We start from the raw sequence: 17,601 nt of genomic DNA, 5'->3' as shown, positions 1-17,601 counted from the left end.
GTTTATAAGCAAAATGCATTTTCCGGTCTTAAAGTGACTGACTCAATGCTCATCTACTGGAAAAACAAAAAAAAGGTTTTTATCCATTTTGTTCCTAGATATGAGGAGCTGCAGTTAGCAAAAGTCATTCTCCTGGGCTCTACTAGTCTTTGTTTCAATAAACCTCCCACAAACCTGAATTCTCAGTCTTGCTTGTCTCCCACACTGAGTACTTGAAGTATGACCACCACTCATTAGAAACATAATTAAAAAGACACAACACTAGATCCCCACCCCCCATCACATTCAGATGAAAACCAATAACCCTTAATCTATTTGTTACCATGGCTACCATAGGATATTTTATTTCAGTAAAACTCTAGGTATTTCGTTTGGATTGCTGCTTGCAAATGAAAGTTGGAGACCTATAAATTTCCATAACCGAGAGACCGAGGAGAAGAAAATGTTTTTCTTAATCACAGGCAAATATGGTTTATAAGATGTTTGTGCAGAAAAGTTATTAAAATTGGTTAGATGCATCAGCCCATAAACCAATTTAAATGCCATTAAATTCATATAGAGTTTAAAAGGCACATGTGCTAGTAATTCCCTGATTTATAGCAGGGTGATAAATCAAGTGCACTCCAGCACAATGTATGGGACGGAGACTATTCATCAGTAGCACACAGCTCCATACCTGTATAAACACCTAGATTATGGACTAATCAAATACACGCATGCCAACCAGCCTTTAAAGTATTCACTAGTGCTTACTGGACATGTTTTCTCTAAGTGTCGGAAAGAACAATCTATAAAATTGTTCATTCTCCTCCCTCACAAAAAAATTAAAAAGCTCTATACCTTCTTTCCATAATAATAATAATAATAATAATAATAATAATAATAATAATAAATCAGGAATGAGGTGGGACAAGTCTGCTGTCATTCATCTGAAAATGAAGCAATTCCTCAAATCTGCCCTCCCAGGGCTGAGTTAGTGATAAGACCACACGGCGAGGAAGAAACTCTGTAGTGACTAGACAGATGACTTTAAAGAGACTGAAACTAGTATAAATACAGCCGTAACCAGGACAGATCTGTCATTGCAAGAGGAGTCCGAATCCCAGCGTTGCTGGACTGGAGAGAGGCTGGAACCTGCAGCAGCGGGCCGGGATGCCGCTGAGCTGCCGAAGTGGAAGTTTCGCAGGCAGCAGCAGCTCGGCGTCCTCCACGGTCTGGTCCCTCCAGCGCCGAGGTCTCGCCTAATGCTACATAAATACCTGCGTCCACGATTCGCCCGGGGCGCGCCGCGGCGCAAGCACGGGAGGGAGGGAGGAGAACGTTTGCAGAGCGGCGGGGATGGCAGCGGCGGCGGCGGCAGCTCCTTACCCATCAGCATCTCTGGGGGCCCGCGCGAGGGCCCGCCAACGGACCGCGTCTGCCGCTTGGTTCCACAGCCCAGGGACGACAACTGGCTTCTCAGCGGGTGGACCCAGGCATCCGAGACTCGCGCGTGGCCGCCACCCCCTCCTCCGAGACGGCTGGCCGCAGGCAGGCAGCGCGTCCCCGCCTTCCCCAGGCAACGCAGAGGCGACCTGCCCTAAGAGCCACCTCCGACCTACCCCGGCTCCCAGCCCCGCGCTCCGGCCCCAGGCGAGCACGTCCCTCCCTTGGGGCCCGGGGCCGACGCTGCCCAGCGCGGGCACCCGCGCGGCGACCGCAGATAACCCTAGCGCTCTCAGCCCGCTCCAGGCCACGGAGACCGGGACGCGAGCCCTGGGCTCCCCCGGCCCCCCGAGGCCATCGGGGCGCGCGTTCACACTCCCACACTACACATCTCCAGGTCCACCCTGTCCCACACATCAACAACCCCTCCCCAACGACACCACCTCCTGGCCGCTTCGCCGTCCCCGTGAGCTCTCCTTTCCGCGTCCCCCCACAACACGCTGGCACCCACAAGGTGTCAAGGGAAGTGTGCGTGTGTGTGTCGGGGTGGGGTGGGTCACAATAAGGTCTGTGCGGGTTCCCTCCCGACGGTTTTCGAGCTCATCTACCTCGAAAGTTACTTGGGATTGAGTAAAGAGACCCAGTCCCCAAATGCGAGATCAGAGGACGCGAGGGGCAGAAAACCCCAACCTGGCTTCTCGCTGCACAGAGGCGCGCACCTCCCCAAAGGACAGTGCGCGCGGCCGCCCCTGGGGGCCAGCCCTCCGTCGCCTCCAGGTCTCCTGCCCGGCCGGGGCCCTGGGCCGCTCAGGGGAACGTGGCCTGGAGAGGGGCGCGCGCCGCCGGGCCCAGCAGGGGGGCTGCTCCGGCCAGGGGTCACACAAGCCTCCAGCACCTCCGAACACCGTGACAGTGGCCCCAGGCAGCCCCGGTGCATACACACCCGGGGGCAGGAAGTTTTTTCCCCCCCTTTTTTTCCCCCTGGAGCAGCGCAGGCGCAAGGGCTCCTGCAGCCTGCGAGTCCAGACGCGGGAGGCTCCTGTCGCCGCCGCCGCCGCCGAAGCCGAGCCCAGGGTTCCGGGTTCCGGCCCCGCTCCCACGCCCGGCCCGGCCCGGCCCCACGCGGCGGCCAGGACCTGGGTCTCCCTCCGGCGCCGCATCCGAGGCGCTCCAGCCCGGCCCGGCTCTTACCTCCGGCGCGCGGCTCCGGCCCCGGCCCGACGCGCAGAGAGCCCGGGGTCGCGGGTGGGCGCAGGAGGGCTGATGGAGAGCGGACAGCGCCGGCGGGTAGCGGTGGCTGGGGCCGCTCGGGTCCTGGCCGGAGGAAACGGATCCAGGTCCTCCTCCTCGCGTTCCTGCTCTCCGCCTTCTCCCCTCGTTCCTCCTCCTCCTCCGCCGCCGCCGCCTCCCGGCAGCCCAGGGAGGATGCCCGGGAGAGGGAAGTCGGTCCTCCTGCCTGTCAGCCTGTGCGGCTATGAGCGGTGCGGCGCGGCTCTCATCGAGGCGGCGGCGGCGGCGGCGGCTCCGGCAGCATCGCCCCCGCCCTCTCCCCGCAGCCGCGGCGGCCGCGGGGCTGGGGCTGGCTCCGGGCTCGCGGCTCGGGCTCCGGGCGGGGGCTGCGCTCAAGCGCGGCGACCGCCGGGGCTGCGGACGGGCGCTGCGGAGCCGGGGCCGGGGCTGGAGCTGCGGCGAGATCCGCGGTGGCGGGGACGGCGGCGGCGGCGCGGGGGCTGGCGCGGCCGCGGCGCGGGGACCATGCTCCCTTCTGGCTCGCTCCGCTCCGGGTACCGTCTGCTTTAGCTGCGAGGGAGGCGGGCTTCGGCGCGCAGCCAGGGGCGGGCGGAGCCAATCACGGGCGCCCGAGTGGGCGGGGGTGGCGGGTGGGGGAGGCGGGGCCCTCTGGCCCGGCCCGGCCAGGCCGGGCCCCGTGCGCAGTTTCCCCGGCCCGAGGGATTCCCGGCTGCCGCGCGCCGGGTCCGAGGTTGGAGTGCTCGCGGGTGTGTCCGTCGGTCCGTCCGTCCGCCGCCCCCGCCCCCCGCGGTGGCCCCCGGCTCGCCTGGCTCCGCGGCCGCGCCCGGCAGACGCACGGCGCGTGGCACGGGCTGCTCCGCCGTGGCCTCCTGGCCTTGCTGGCCCAGGGTTGGGGGCCCGGGACTGAGGCGAGCTCCCCGTCTGCTCTCAACACCTGAGGAAACTGGCGGAAAAGTTTGAGAAGGAAAAAGTCCAATCGTCTTTCAGCTTCCGCCCTCTTTATGACACTCCAGCCTTGGAAAGGAGCAGGAATTGTCCACACCTCTGAAGGACCAGGGAGAGCCCTGCAAAGTGTCCACCAGCCTTCTGAGTCAGCCCTGCCTCTCCTGGGGCGCGCGACTTTTCTGTTCATACTGACCCTTAGGAATCCAGGAAGCCTTCTCTGTTTAACAGCCTGACCAGCCTTTGATGTCTATACCGACTACTCACCCCCACCACAGCTCGCTCTCTCTCACACTGTCTACACTGACTTCTCAGTCCCACCACCTCTCGGTCTACACATGCTGTCTACACAGACCCTAACTTCTAACCCTAATAGAAGAGATTTGGCCAGAGGCGTGTGGGACCCCCAATGAGGGCTTTTCCATTATGCTAGAATATTTCACTCTGGGCACAGTCTTCTCCACCCCGACCGCTCTCCTAATCTGGTTTTTATTCCCCGACCTCTCCCTCCTCCCCTACATCCCCTTTACCTGGTTTTGAGTTTCAGAGGAAATATCTGTACCTGCCCTCCTCCTCCACCCCTGTCTGAATGTAAAGGCCTGAGGGCCCAATCCTCATCCTCCACCCTCCCTCCGCTCCCCCGGGTAAAGGCCTGAGGCCTGAGGCCTTGCTAGAAATTGGAGTTGGGGTGCTGTAGGTAGTGTGGGGAGCTGGCTGTGGGGGCCCAGCTGGGAGGAGCTGGCCTGGGGAGGGCTTTGCCAGTCCTTGCCTCCATCTACCAGGGCCAAGGAGGACTGAGCCGGTAAATATTTTCTTCTCAGCTCCCCCCCTGTGATGTCTGATCCAGGCCTCTGCTCTCCTTGGCTGTAAACTCAGCGCACGGATTGTGTCTTCTTTAATATTTTGTAGGAAGCAGAGTACAGTGTCGTGGCTGATAAATAATAAATAATAATAATCTACTGAGGGTAGCAGGAGCACTGTCAGAAATGGAATGAGGACGCCGGGGAAATGGCCCACTAGTGTCAGAATAACTGCATTTCCTGGAAAAAACATCCAACAGAGTTTGTGTGTGTGAAGCCCGGGACTCAAGGGAGGGGACAGAGCGGAGCACTTCAGGGAGGAAGCCACCCTTCATGAGGACGACAGCCAGGAAAACTGGCGTGACCTTAAGAGAGGGTGACAGAGGTGCCGAAAAGGGGAGCAGGAGTGGGGGGGAGGGGGAGAAAAGCTCCCCAAGGGTCCTCAGACAACACCTGAAGGTGATCGATAGCTTTGGTTTGAGTACTATGTCCTTCAAATGGTATATGAAAAGTGATAGAAGAGTACTAGATAGCAAAATGGAAAAAAGAGGGATTTCTTGGGATTTCAAATTGATACACAGGTCAACCCAATGCAAAAAGAAGGAGAACAAAGCCACAGGCGTGTGTCTGTTCATCCACGCTGTAGGAAGCTGTCCTCTGAGATAATCTCCATGGATGCACTGACTGTGAACATGCAGAAGTCCACCCAGCCGTATTCTGGAGTAGCGCCCTATGTGACAGCTGTAGGCACTACAGAAATGTGGCCAAGGTTTGCAGGGTCTGGGATAGGTTAAGATCTGGCAATGTGAGGCACTCACAGTGTCTTACAGATGATTTTGAATGATCCTCAGTTGAAAGAAGAAAATAGGAACTCCAAGAATCCTTATTCAGCTACCTCTCCAGATGAAGGAGAAAGGATGCTCCCAATTTCCCTGCTGGCAGCATCAGAAAAGAGAGCTGTGCTGAGGTCTTATCCAGAGGAGGACCTACTCGGGCCATGGTGGTGCGAAGGGCGCTGGTTCTGGGGCACCGCAAACTCTTCAGGGCTGAAGTTTGGTAACAGCTCACCAGGGGAGCCAGCTTGTCAGGGAGAATGAGAAAAGCTGTGTGAATTAGACTCCCAGTGGGCTTGTCTACCCTGTCCTCACCCATCCTCGTTTTATCCAAGGCTTCCTCGTCATTGATGCTCTGCCCTGCTGGGAGCTGTTTAGTGTGGACACAGCCATTTATGAAGGGTCTGCGCTGGTCTGCATATGAGTTCCATTTCAGAGTGCTGTTGTTCACATGATCTGTCCCAGCGCATCTAGTGTCTTGGCAACATAAACTGGATTTGCATTGTGTCAGGGGTCTCCTCTCTCTCTCTCTCTACGTAGATCTTGCTGGTGTCTGGGATCTTTTTTGGGTCATTCTTTGCTCTACTCTGTGGCCCATGGGATGGGCCCCATGACTGGCATGGATCTCTCTGTGTGGTTCATGGGACTCGTGTGTTGTGCCCAGAAACCTCTTACACCATGGTCAAAGATTTCTCCATGAAACACAGGATTGACTTGGTGGTGTGTTCTCCAAAAGCCAACCCTCCCTGTCCTGAGCCCCAATCTGGGCACTGGGATCAGGACTAATGTGTACACTCCAAGCAGATGGGTAGTGAAGGAGCGGACTCATAGTGCATAGGGAAGTGGACTGGAACACTCCAGGACATCCATTCCCCGCTCAGATCATAGACCATTATCTGTGCAGTCAATCAGACAAGGACTTGTACTGGAAAGGCCACCATCACCCAAGGAGGAACCAGAGGAAGTCACATCAGGAACACCTGGGGTGCCACATAAACCCACAGTGGCCAAGGTGGACTTCTGTCCTTGTCTGTGTTTATGATAATAGCCACAACAAAAGGACCTTTACCCAGTGGCTACTATATGTCAGGCACTGTACCAAGAACTCTACCCATGATATCTTGTTAATCCTCACAGCAACCTGTGGAATTGGTGTTATCAGCCCCCAAAACTGAGTTCCAGAGAGGGTAGATGAGAACCTGCAATCACACAGTAAGTGACAGTGCTGGAATTTCAGCCTGATTGTCCCAAAGCCTCTGTTCTTTTTACCCCACCAAACACACAAATGCAGTTTCTTTTGTCATTAGCCCAGTGCTTTTCCCTTGGAGTAGATACAGTAGATGCTGATTTTTGCCTTCATCAGCAAAAGTCTTTACCCCAGACACATAACTGGAGATCAGTCATAGAACAGAGAGCACTAATGTAGAAGGGCACAGGTCCCTTTGATTACTGAACACTCAGGTCACTCGGAAGAGTGGAAGCCTCATCAGAAACCTTCGGGTTTGACAGGACATCTGTTTCCAGGAGCACGGTGGGTGTAAACAGAGCAGCTGCCAGCCTCTGTCCTGGTTGGGGTTTTGTGTTTGCTGGTTTTTCTTTTTTTTTTTTTTTAAACACATTATACTCTATTAAAACCACCCCTATTTGGCATCAAAAGCATTAATAAATCCCACATAAGGCACAGTCCCTCCAGTGGTTAATCAATCCATAAAAATCTATTTAGCACCTACTGTGTGTCCAGCATTTCAATCCCATGACGTTGATTAAAGCAGGAAGTAAGGAGTCACAGCTGCCAAATTTTCACCATGGCCACCGTGCTCTGTGATGTGTCACAAAGGCATTTGCCAATCATGCAATCAACCATTTACTGAGAACCTGCTTTGTTGCTCAACTCTGTGCTGGCGACTCTCAGGAAGACAGGGAAGGTATAAGGCGGCTTATACGCCAATCATTTTTACCCTGCCTATTTTCCAAAAAGTGATCGAGGTTTCCTAATACAATACTTGGCTCTTGTTCTTGACAAGGGTTAAGATAACAGCAGTTGTTATCAAGAAATATAACTTCGTGCTCACCTGTGGGGAAGAGACTCTCAAGTGTTGTGGGGTTAAGGGGACGATTCCCTAAGAGCTAGGCTGGTCAGGATGCCTTCCTGGAGGAGGAAGGTCTAAGACTGGACCTGACAAGGCAGTTTCTGTGGGAGGCAGAGGGAGCCTAGACCAGGCAGAGGGGAAGGCAGGGGCCAGGAGGTCAGGGGAGGGAGGATTGCTGGATTGGAGGACTCATTACCATATGATCGTTTCTAAAACACGACTTGTTGTTAAGTCATTTCCTTTGGGTGAAAGTGAAAGTGTATTTCCTTCCCCCCTCCTCCCACCACCCCCAGCCCGCCAAATCAGTGAAATATTAGATTCTAAGAGTCAGAATGAAACCAGTGGTGTCTTTTTTTGGCATTCTCAATGGCAAGAATTCAGCACCTTTTTTTAGTACCACTTGTTTGCAGGTGGCAGGAGTGCTAATTAGACAGAGCCACTAACAATTTTCCTGGGTGGCTCTGATTCCCAAACTGACATGAGACACTGCTTGGGCGTTTAAGAGAGCAGCTTCCGCTCTCTCCATTGGTAATGGGATTCTTCATCCATGGTGTCCGGAGGAATGGACTGAAGAGTTGCTCAGTATATAGTTATTGGTTGTTAAATTGTTGACAGTGATCAAAATGTCACTTTCCTTTTTCAATGTTAAAGAAGGGGCCGGTGTTTCTCTATGACAGATTATTAAAAATAAGACCCAGACGATTGTTAGGATAGATTGCAAGGAAAATTTAGTTTGAATTTTAGAGTGTTTTTTCACTCACTGAAGCATGTTCACTAATGATAAAATTCAGGAGACTTTTTTTTTTTGAGACAGAGTCTCACTCTATCACCCAGGCTGGAGTGCAATGGCATGATCTTGGCTCACTACAACCTCTACCTTCCAGTTCAAGAGATTTCTCCTGCCTCAGCCTCCGATGTAGCTGAGACTACAGGTGTGTGCCACCACGCTGGCGAATTTTTATTTTTATTTTTAGTAGAGATGAGGTTTCACCATGTTGGCCAGGCTGGTCTTGAACTCCTGACCTCAAGTGTTCTGCCTGCCTCTGCCTCCCAAAGTGCTGGAATTACAGGCCTGAGCCACCATGCCCGGCCAAAATTCAGGAGACTTTTGAGAGAGGATTGAGCCCTGATAGCTCTTGGCATAAATGTATTTTTAAGCTGTTTTTAAGAAAAAAGAGGTAAAGGTCCCACCTACCTCCTGTTCAACTCTAGAATCCATCAGTGCCACTGTTTCCATCTCCCTCTGGGTTTTTGGTAGGACGTAGGGCCAGTATCAGGTTTGTAATTATGGTCATTTTGGAGCCCCCAGTTGGGCCAGAGGAAGGCCAGTGACCACTCACCCAGCACAGGTGGTGACTGCTCTGCCTTGACCGTCCCCAGGACAGGGACCCTCCACTGTCCTCTGCCCTCTGCTGGGACCCAGGCAGCCTGAGAGGGGACCCAGTCCACATGGGCTACAGGGGGAGCACAGCAGGAGGAGACAGGATGACCTCGTGGTGACTTGGCAGTGAATCTCATTTTCATCAGCTATTTATTGAACACGCCTGGGTCCAGGGCTCTGTCTCAGGTGTTACTGGTAATCACCGTACCCCCCCCCCCCCCCCCCCCCGCCCCACAGCTGAAGTAGCCTGTCACGGTCACAAGCAAATGACAGCCTGTCTTCCAAGACACACATTCTCTATTCTCCCTGGAGATGGAAGTGTTGGGGGTCAAGTTTCATGCAGCCTCAGAGTCTGAGATTAACCTCGGTTTGCAGTGTGAAGTATCTAGTGGTTTCAGCTATTTTGGGTCCTCTGGACTATGTAAATCTGTATCTCCTCTTCATGTTCACCCCTACCAGAATCTGTGAAGCTGCACACACTTTCTGTGCTGAGGGGTCCAGGAGGAAACATTTATGAGACCACACCCAGTGGAAACATGAATGTTAACAGCATTGCTGAGGCTTCATGCCCAGGGAACAGAGGGTGACAAGGAAGGGATGATTTCACCAGGGTACCTGCTGAATATTTACCGAGGGTCTTAAAAATAGCCTAAAGTCTGTGATACAAGCCACCATCTGGTCCAGGTGCACCTTACTGTAAGAAAATATGATATATGAAAATTCAAAATTGTAAAGCAGAAGGATTTTCTAGTTTGCATCACAAAAGGATTCATGGGCTTCCCTTGAGTGAACCTATTCCCTTAGATACTTAATCTGTGGCTGATTTACTGGAAATTCAGTTCACATCCAACTGGTCAGAAACACACTAATTTATTTTCATTTATTTAAGATGTATCACCCAGCTACTTCCAAGAGGCCTTGAGCAACTCACAGGTTAACTCACAGGTTAAAACACGGGGCAAAAGAAGGCTTTTAGGAATGAAACAGGATAGGTGATGAGGTAGAGGCCTCAGGCACTCATGATGAATGGTTTGCCACAATTAGGCTCTAAGGAAAATAGTGCAAATATGCCGGGTTACCTGACTGTAGAAAGGAAGGAACATTTCTATCAGGTTATAAAATGGTTTGAATAGTAACTACTTAAAAATCAGAGACTATTACAAATGGAAGAATGTAGTATTGTTGAGATAAAAGGTTTCTCCTCTAGACTTTTGGAAACAAATGCTAACTGTGGAAAAGTATAACGCTGTAGGCCTGTTAACATTTTTCACTGCTCTCAAACCCTTAAAAATATTTACCAGACAATTTTCGTTAAAAAAATTTCAATCCTTTGTAGATTCATTTATTGCAGATTCAGGAAAATGATTGCGAATCAGACACATCTCCTTTAGGTGGCTGTGAATTTTCCTAGAATGCAATGAGTATTTTTTAGTTAAAGTCTAAACCCTCAATAATGTCGATATGGCTTCAGGACAACTTCAAAATTAGAGAGTTCTGGCTAATGTAAAATTTCACTAGATACACTCAGAATTTAAATAGGAGAATAGGCAGCTTTAGGAAAGAGTCAGAACAAGATTTGAAATCTAAGATATTTCTATACCAGTCTACAGGTAAAATCTTTTTTTTTTTTTTTTTTTTTGAGACACAGTCTCACTCTGTGCCCAGCCTGGAGTGCAGTGGTACGATCTTGGCTCACTGCAAACTCTGCTTCTGGGTACAAGCAATTCTTGTGACTCATCCTTCCGAGTAGCTGGGATTATAGGAGTGTGCCACCACACCCAGCTAATTTTTAGTACAGACAGGGTTTCTCTATGTTGGCCAGGCTAGTCTCGAACTCCTGGTCTTAAGTGATCCACCTGCCTCGGCCTCCCAAAGTTCTGGGATTACAGGTCTGAGACACTGTGCCTGGCAGTCTACAGGTAAATTCAATTAAACTGAATTTGAGATTTTAAAAGGGTACAGCTGTGACTTATCATTATACTCAAGGCCAGTTTTACTGGGAATTAAAATTGACGTGTGGCAGTTGATGTATATGTGTTGTTCAAAAGCAATGGAACGGTGAATTGGGGCGACAGTACATGAAATAATGATGTACGAATGATGACAATGTCAGCAAAAGCAGATAGTAGTTCAGCACTTACTATGCAACAGACACTGCTTAAAACTCTATTTTTCTTGTTTCTTTTTATTTTAAATATTTAGTAATATTTAACAATATTACATATTTTTATATGTAAATATGTACATATTTAAATATGCAATAATTTTCATGCAGACACGTAGTAGGAGGGAGTCCGGCTAGATGAAGGTTAAAGCTTCATCTGTCTCAAAACCAGAGTGGAAGTTGAACAGTGCCTTGCTCTGGGAAGCTCCGGGCATTCCTAGATGATGGCTGCATCTTACATGCTGCTGAAGTCTGACCTAAAGGAGACTGAAAGATAAGATGAGAATGAATGAAAGAAGCCCAACTGTATTAGTCATTTATTGCTGCCTATCAAATTTACCCAAAACTTAGCAGCTTAAAACAAACAAGATTTATTACCTCACACACTATCTGACGGTCAGGAATCGAAGAGCAGTGTGGCTGGGTGGTCCCGGCTCCGTGTTTCTCACAAAGTTGCAGTCAGACGTCAGCTGAGGCTACAGTCATCTCGAGTCTCTACTGGGGCTCATGGATTCAATGCCAAGTTTACTCGCATGACTGTTGGCTAGAGGCCTCAGTTCTTTGCCATGTGGCTCTCTTTACAGGGCTACCTGGTTTCTGCCTGAGCAGCAAGTGATGAAGGAGAGTGAGCGTATGAGAGAGTAAGAGAGTGAGCCCAATCGTGGACTGACCACACAATTGACCCTGGTTTACTGTGAGAAAGGACACAGACTGTGAACACCAGGAGGTAGGGATCATTGGATGCCATCTTGGAGGCTGGCTACCTCAACAATCATCTTAGATTCCATGATTTCTAGACAATGGAAGGATGACAGGACGTATTTCCCAGATTTCAGTAATTCAGGCTTCTGACAGTCCCCAAGAAATCAGAGGACATGAGACTCCAAAAAGAAGAGAGATGGCTCAAGAAGGTGGGAGAACTCCTGGTAGAATTCCAAATGTGTAAATTGCCAGTGCACTTGAAGAGAAATAGTAAGGTGGGAACAGGTTGCTGATGAGACCAGGGCAGCTCCTGGAGAAGCTCAACTTTGAGTAGAGCTGGCAAAAGGGAAAACAAGGAGCGATAGGTGTAGCAGAGTCACACAAGCCTAGTTTGCTAATTAGGTCTAATAAATTAAGGCAGTGAAATTGTAAGGATAACAACAACCAAAAAAAGCTTTTTTTTTTTTTGACATGGGCAGAAAATCAAGAAAGGAACTGCTCTGTGATTGTGGTCAGTTTCTGTGGCGCCAGCTCTTCCTGACTGCCTGACAACCACGATGTACCAGGCAAGGTGTGAAGTGCAGAGTACACAAAGGAAAGGTCACTGCCCTCAAAGGTCTCCCAATCAAATGGGAACGCAAATGCAAAATGCCATTCAGCATAATCAATACCATAATGAGATTCTGGCCAGGAAGGTCAGGGACACGAGGAAAGGCTCTGCAGTGCTACCTGGGGCAGGTGGGTCAGGGATGACCTGGTCGAAGAGATTACACTTGAACTGAGTCTCAAAGGATCAGCAGGAATTCGCCAAGTGAACCAAGGGAGAAAGGGCAGAGAAAAAGGAGACACCCAGCACAGAGGCGTGAAGTAGCCTGGCAGGCTGGGGAGCTGCTAGTGTTTTATATGATTAGAGCAAGGTGGAGGTGCAGACAGGGCTGGGGAGAACTGTGGAACCCACTTCGCAAGGCCTTGGGTGCCTGTACTGGGAGTGGACACGGCAGTGTTGGTCAAAATGGGGTCTTACATCAGAATCTCCTGGGAGGTTCATGAAAATGCAGTTTCTTAAGCCTTATCTTATGTCCATATGGGCAGACTGCTCAGCATAACTCTCTTTTCTTCCTGAGCTTGACTACATTTCCCAGCGTCCTTTGGAGTGAGACTACATCTCCCAGCATCCTGGCAGTTAGACAATTTTCTAGTCTCCTTTGCAGGTAGGTGCACTCATGTGACTGAGATCTAGCCAATAGAATGTGAATGCAGCTAATGCTTGCCATTTCCAGACCTGAGCCATTAAAATTGCCCTGCACCTTCTCCATACACTTTTCCTTCTCTTTATGTTTTTGCGCAGGGATCTTGGAAGCCCCATGTTGAAGGTGGCAGAGCAACAAAAATTGAGGAAACCCTGAATCCCTGAATTACTATTTGGAGATGACCACCCACTAATTCGGAACACTCATTATTGGGCTTTAGGAGAATGAGAAGTTCTATCATGTTTGAGACTCCGTACATCTTTGGATTTGTTTTAACAGCTAGTTTTACCCTGGCTAACATGGCAATTGACAGCCTCTGAGAGGAGATTTGGAGAATCTGCTTTTTTAACAAGTACTCCAGGGGAGTTTGAGAATCACTGCTGAAAGCCAAGGGGAGCCAGCCACCCAAGGATTTAACGCTGACCAAGGAACACCACGCTATTTGCATTTTAGAATGACAGCAAGGGAGCAGAACTCTGCCCCCTTCTTGTCTGCCAAGGAGAACAATCTACTGACTCAAAAGAAAAAGAAAACTTTGGTAAGAGAAAATTGAAGCTCTAGATGAGTGAAAAGATTCTAACAGCACCAAGCTGCCGTAAATGAGCTCAAGTCTCCTGGCCAGGACAAATTACACTCCAGGGAGTAGAGAGAACTCGCCTCTGAAGCTGTAAAGCCTCTGCTGATAATCTTTACAGAACATGGAGACTGTGAAAGAAATTGGAACGCTAGAAATGGCAAAATATAGCTCTGATTAGTAAAGAGGGGGAAAGCTTCTGCAAACTACAAAAGTGGGGCTATCCTATCCATCCTCATTAAATTCCCTGATCAGACTACTTAAGGCTGAGCTGTGAGTACGTGAAAAATGGAGCAGAATCCTCTAGAAGCCTGTGTGGGTTCTTTAAGAGCAAGCCACGACAAGGTAACTGTATTCCCAGTTTCGTGGTAGGCTTGCTAGATTATTATGTCAGGGAATTGTGTTAGCTATGGTAGAGACAAAGCACACCTCGGCTTGGTATCTGCCAAGGAATCTCATGATAAATTCGTGCATGAGATGAAGTAATTTCAGCTGCAGACCAGCATGCCTATTAGGTGGATTTAGAACTGTTTTTGTGGCCATTCCCAAAGATGCTAGTCAATGTCTTTGCGGAAGTAAATTTCTAGTTGAAGGCACAGTCGTCGTCGCGTGTCGCATTTGATATTTTTATTAGTGTGTGGACATAGATGACTTAGTTAATACCTAACACATTTTGAGGTGACATGCAGAGAATACTTTTGTTGACACACCAGGGCCCAAAGACTACAGTGCTAAGCTAAATGTAATGATATAAGATGAAACAGAGAAACGGTAGGGTCAGATGCTCCAGTCCAAACAGTCCCTGTGTGAGTGCAGGGCCAAGAGGCAAAAGCGTCTGGCAGAGAGTAAAAAACAAGAATCTCAGCTGACAGTAATGCGGCACGTTGTTCAGCTGCTCTAAGCCCAATGTGGTCTTGGGTTAAATTGAGGGAAGCATGAAAGAGGTGCTCTTTACACCTGGAATGTGGCATTTGGTGGTGAGTTCCCTTTTGTGAGATGCCTGAGAGTGTGGAGAGGAAGACGAGCGATGTGTCTCAGGGAGGGAGCTCTGAATCCTGTCATGTGAGAAACGTTTAAGGAACTGCAAGAGGTCAGTCTGAAGGTGAGAAAACTCAGAGTTTAGGTATGAAGCCTCTGGGGTTAGGCCTCTGAGACCTGCATGCAGTTATCCGAAGGCATGTCATTAGCAGAGGGGCCCTGGTTTCGGGAAAGCCCTAGCAGGCAAATTTCAGGTCTACCCCAGAGTGACCGTTCTGTACCCATCTCGCAGCTGCCTAAAACAGAGGAGCTTCTTGGGGTGGGAGCGCCTGTCAGTGGAGATGACCGAGTGGAGAGGAGAAAGTCCCCTGGAAGAGCTGAAGGCCTCTGATGGGTGTTTGGTCACAAAGGAATCGCTAATGTCACTATTAGTAGCTACTAGCTCTGGCTGCCCTTGGAGACATCGTAGAATGTGCTGGGCGCTGTGCTGAAGTAGGCTCAAAGCCCCATGTAGTTTTCTTTTGCTCCTGTAACAAATTACCCCAAAATCGTGGCTTAAAGCGACATACATGGATTATCTTACAGTTTTGGAAACCAGAGGCCAAGATCGAGGCATCTGCAGGGCTGTGTTCCTTCAGGAGGCTCTAGGAGGCTTTCCTTGCCTTTTCCAGCTGCCAGGAGCTGCCTGCACTCCTTGGCTCTTGGCTCCTTCCTTGGTCTTCAAGGCCAGCAGCAAAGTGTCTTTAACTCTTTCTCTGACCTCTCTTCTGCCATGGCATTGCTATCTCTGACTCTGAACTGCCTGCCTCCCTTTCAGAAGGACCCTTCTGATTATGCTAGGTCCACCCAGATAATCTAGGTCCCTCTCTTCATTTAATCAAATCTGTAAAGTTCCTTTTGCCATATAAGGTAACATATACACAGCTTTGGGGAATTAGGAAGACAACATGTTTGAGGGGCTGGTATTCTGTCTACTGCAAGTCCTTTGAGTTTCACTTCCATTCATTTAATCCCTCATTACCTTGAAGAGTTGGGCATCATTTCCACTTCACAAATAGAGAAACAGAGACACACAGAAGTTAGGTAAACACACAGCATTGCCATAAAATGGTGAGACTGGGATTCGAATCTGGATGTAACTCTCAAAGCCAGACCCTTAACCACTCGGATGCTATACTGTGTGTGTTATTATTATTATTAGAGTCTATAACTCTAAGCACTAATAATCGCTTTTCTTTAATGGTGTTAATTTAATGGTGACATTATTGCAGCCTGTGTTTTCCAAAATGTAACATAAGTCAGACATTTCTGGCTAATATGAAATGTAGCTGGCCTCCCCCTGTTCTCTCCTTAGCATCCTCAGCTAACAGCTTTCTCCCCTCCTGGATTTTGTCACCTTGGGCCTTCTCAGCTACAGGAGTTTGAAGCAGTGTTATTTTCTGGATTTGGATCTGACAATCTTTGTAGACTAAAGGTTACACAGCTGCTAAAGTTTGTTTTTAACCCAAAGTAACAGAGTTGTCAGGGATAATGTAAAAAGATTCCAGAAATGCAGGTTAAAAACCTACTGATTCTGCCAGGCAGCAGGAACAGTGATGCCAGGCTCTGGGATGATGGCATTTAGGCCCTGGGCAGACATAAAAAAGCACAGATCCGTTTGAAGCCCCCACTTCTCCTGGAGCTTAGGAGGTCCTACTGAGGTGGGCAGTGAGCAAGTGGCTGGGACAGTGAGTGTGTCACATCTCTTCTGTGGTTGTCCTTCCAGTGTTCCCAGCCTTGGCCATTTGGAACCACAGAGCACCATCCACCCTCCAGCTGAGGCACAATTCTCTCTGTGCTGGGCTGGACTGGGCTGGGCCCTGCGTCCAAGCTGAGCTGGATGTGGGCTGCGCAAAGCCTGTTGGACAGAGCCTCAGGCACAGGTGGAGGGGTCACTGTGACACCAGGAAGAGTCTGCCAGAATCTAGCAGGTGGACGAAAGAGTCCACAGGGCGCAGGAAGGGCTTGCCTGGGGTTGGGGGCTGTGAACTGACTGTGATGCAAGGAATGGCTGGATGGCTGGAGAGAAGTGAAAGGGCCTCCTGTCCACTGGATTCAGATCCTATTCAACTGCAGGGACCACGCTGACCCTCCTGAGCTGATGCTTCCTCTATGGGCCACACGGAAGTGCCATGGCCTCTTTTATCAAGTCTATATTATAGGTTTGGTGTTGATGGAGCACCTAAATTCTAGAAAGGAAGGAAATGAACATTTTTGAACATCTTCTTTTTGCCAGGCATTGGACCAGGAAGGAGAGAAATGGGGCCTTTTCTGGCCAGGTGCTCTCACTGACTCCGGGTACAAGGAAGAATACAATATGATTCCTGTCCTCAAGTCCACATGCCTGTGGATACTAACCTTTACACAGACAACATAAGAACTGAACAGGGTGGTATTTAATTAAGATAAAAGAAGTAGCAAGAGTAACAAGTAATAAGTGAGAATAAGTATTAAACTATGTACTGACTTTGGGAGTACCCAGGCTCCATTTTTATGCCAAATCTCTGGTGTTAAGGCATAAAAGATACTGTGTTTAGAACATGTCCTGAAAGGGAACATGTTCTAAAAAAAACACAAAACAGCAGAAAGGATAACGTTCTGCTGCTGACTTGTGTTCATTGTTCAACTTGTGGGCCACTAGGACTCTTGAATCTTCTTTCTCCATATTTGCATCTAATTAGCATTTGTGTAGTTGCTATCTTTCCCTGAAATGTTTCTTTCTCAACACTCAGTATTGCCGTAACAAGATGGGGAAACAGAGGAAATAATTTTTTTAAATGTTCAATTGATTTCCTTTTTTAAAAAGACACCTTTATTGAATTATTACATATCATAAAATTCATCTGTTTTATGTGTGCAACTCGATGAATTTTAGTAAATTTACAGAGGTGTGCAGCCATCACAACCAGCTTTAAAACATTTCCATTACCAGACAGAATAATTTAAGGGCACAATCCAATGAATGTGGGCATATTTAACCTACTTGAGCATGCATTTCTGAAACTGTTGTACTTAAGAAAATCTGTCAGCAAATTTTGAGTTGCTTCATGATATACTTTTGCAAGACAAAGCAAAATGTGCAGAAGGAAGGATCTGTGTGCCTGAAATCCTAAGAAACCATTATCTATTTTGCAGATCACTTTATTAATAAACAGATTATTACAAAAGTAAT

At 49.2% G+C, this 17,601-nt stretch overlaps 1 protein-coding gene and 1 long non-coding RNA gene across 2 annotated transcripts in view, besides 8 other annotated features; one reads left to right on the top strand and one right to left on the bottom strand.

Annotated features, from left to right (window-relative positions):
- Nucleotides 1–3,218, bottom strand: part of KLHL29 (kelch like family member 29) — a 323,428-nt gene extending 320,210 nt beyond the window's left edge. The window contains exon 1 of the mRNA NM_052920.2: nt 2,617–3,218. The gene's annotated coding sequence lies outside the window, so the exon portion shown is untranslated. The remainder of the gene's footprint in view (nt 1–2,616) is intronic.
- LINC02923 (long intergenic non-protein coding RNA 2923) overlaps nt 1,079–17,601 on the top strand; it is a 29,875-nt gene continuing 13,352 nt past the window's right edge. The window contains exons 1-4 of the long non-coding RNA NR_187213.1: nt 1,079–7,176; nt 11,471–11,613; nt 12,713–12,799; nt 12,937–13,757. This is a non-coding gene — a long non-coding RNA (long intergenic non-protein coding RNA 2923). The remainder of the gene's footprint in view (nt 7,177–11,470; nt 11,614–12,712; nt 12,800–12,936; nt 13,758–17,601) is intronic.
- Nucleotides 1,332–1,381: a silencer, noted in NCBI's record as "silent region_11220". NCBI's record gives its function as "represses an Ori minimal core promoter by ATAC-STARR-seq in GM12878 lymphoblastoid cells {active_cell/tissue: GM12878}" and the evidence as "EXISTENCE:reporter gene assay evidence [ECO:0000049][PMID:35858748]".
- Nucleotides 1,552–1,721: a silencer, noted in NCBI's record as "silent region_11219". NCBI's record gives its function as "represses an Ori minimal core promoter by ATAC-STARR-seq in GM12878 lymphoblastoid cells {active_cell/tissue: GM12878}" and the evidence as "EXISTENCE:reporter gene assay evidence [ECO:0000049][PMID:35858748]".
- Nucleotides 1,742–1,861: a silencer, noted in NCBI's record as "silent region_11218". NCBI's record gives its function as "represses an Ori minimal core promoter by ATAC-STARR-seq in GM12878 lymphoblastoid cells {active_cell/tissue: GM12878}" and the evidence as "EXISTENCE:reporter gene assay evidence [ECO:0000049][PMID:35858748]".
- Nucleotides 2,102–2,961: a silencer, noted in NCBI's record as "silent region_11217". NCBI's record gives its function as "represses an Ori minimal core promoter by ATAC-STARR-seq in GM12878 lymphoblastoid cells {active_cell/tissue: GM12878}" and the evidence as "EXISTENCE:reporter gene assay evidence [ECO:0000049][PMID:35858748]".
- Nucleotides 3,132–3,481: a silencer, noted in NCBI's record as "silent region_11216". NCBI's record gives its function as "represses an Ori minimal core promoter by ATAC-STARR-seq in GM12878 lymphoblastoid cells {active_cell/tissue: GM12878}" and the evidence as "EXISTENCE:reporter gene assay evidence [ECO:0000049][PMID:35858748]".
- Nucleotides 4,985–5,279: a silencer, noted in NCBI's record as "tiled region #13479; HepG2 Repressive non-DNase unmatched - State 21:Repr". NCBI's record gives its function as "represses a minimal TATA promoter and a strong SV40 promoter by Sharpr-MPRA in HepG2 cells {active_cell/tissue: HepG2}" and the evidence as "EXISTENCE:reporter gene assay evidence [ECO:0000049][PMID:27701403]".
- Nucleotides 4,985–5,279: an enhancer, noted in NCBI's record as "tiled region #13479; K562 Activating DNase matched - State 13:Ctcf". NCBI's record gives its function as "activates a minimal TATA promoter and a strong SV40 promoter by Sharpr-MPRA in K562 cells {active_cell/tissue: K562}" and the evidence as "EXISTENCE:reporter gene assay evidence [ECO:0000049][PMID:27701403]".
- Nucleotides 7,603–7,822: an enhancer, noted in NCBI's record as "active region_15411". NCBI's record gives its function as "activates an Ori minimal core promoter by ATAC-STARR-seq in GM12878 lymphoblastoid cells {active_cell/tissue: GM12878}" and the evidence as "EXISTENCE:reporter gene assay evidence [ECO:0000049][PMID:35858748]".

The sequence above is a fragment of the Homo sapiens genome, chromosome 2 (assembly GCF_000001405.40).
Source record: "Homo sapiens chromosome 2, GRCh38.p14 Primary Assembly".
Taxonomy (NCBI): Eukaryota; Metazoa; Chordata; class Mammalia; order Primates; family Hominidae; genus Homo; species Homo sapiens.
Note: the sequence above shows the minus strand (reverse complement) of the source record. Positions and strands in the feature narration are given on the sequence as shown.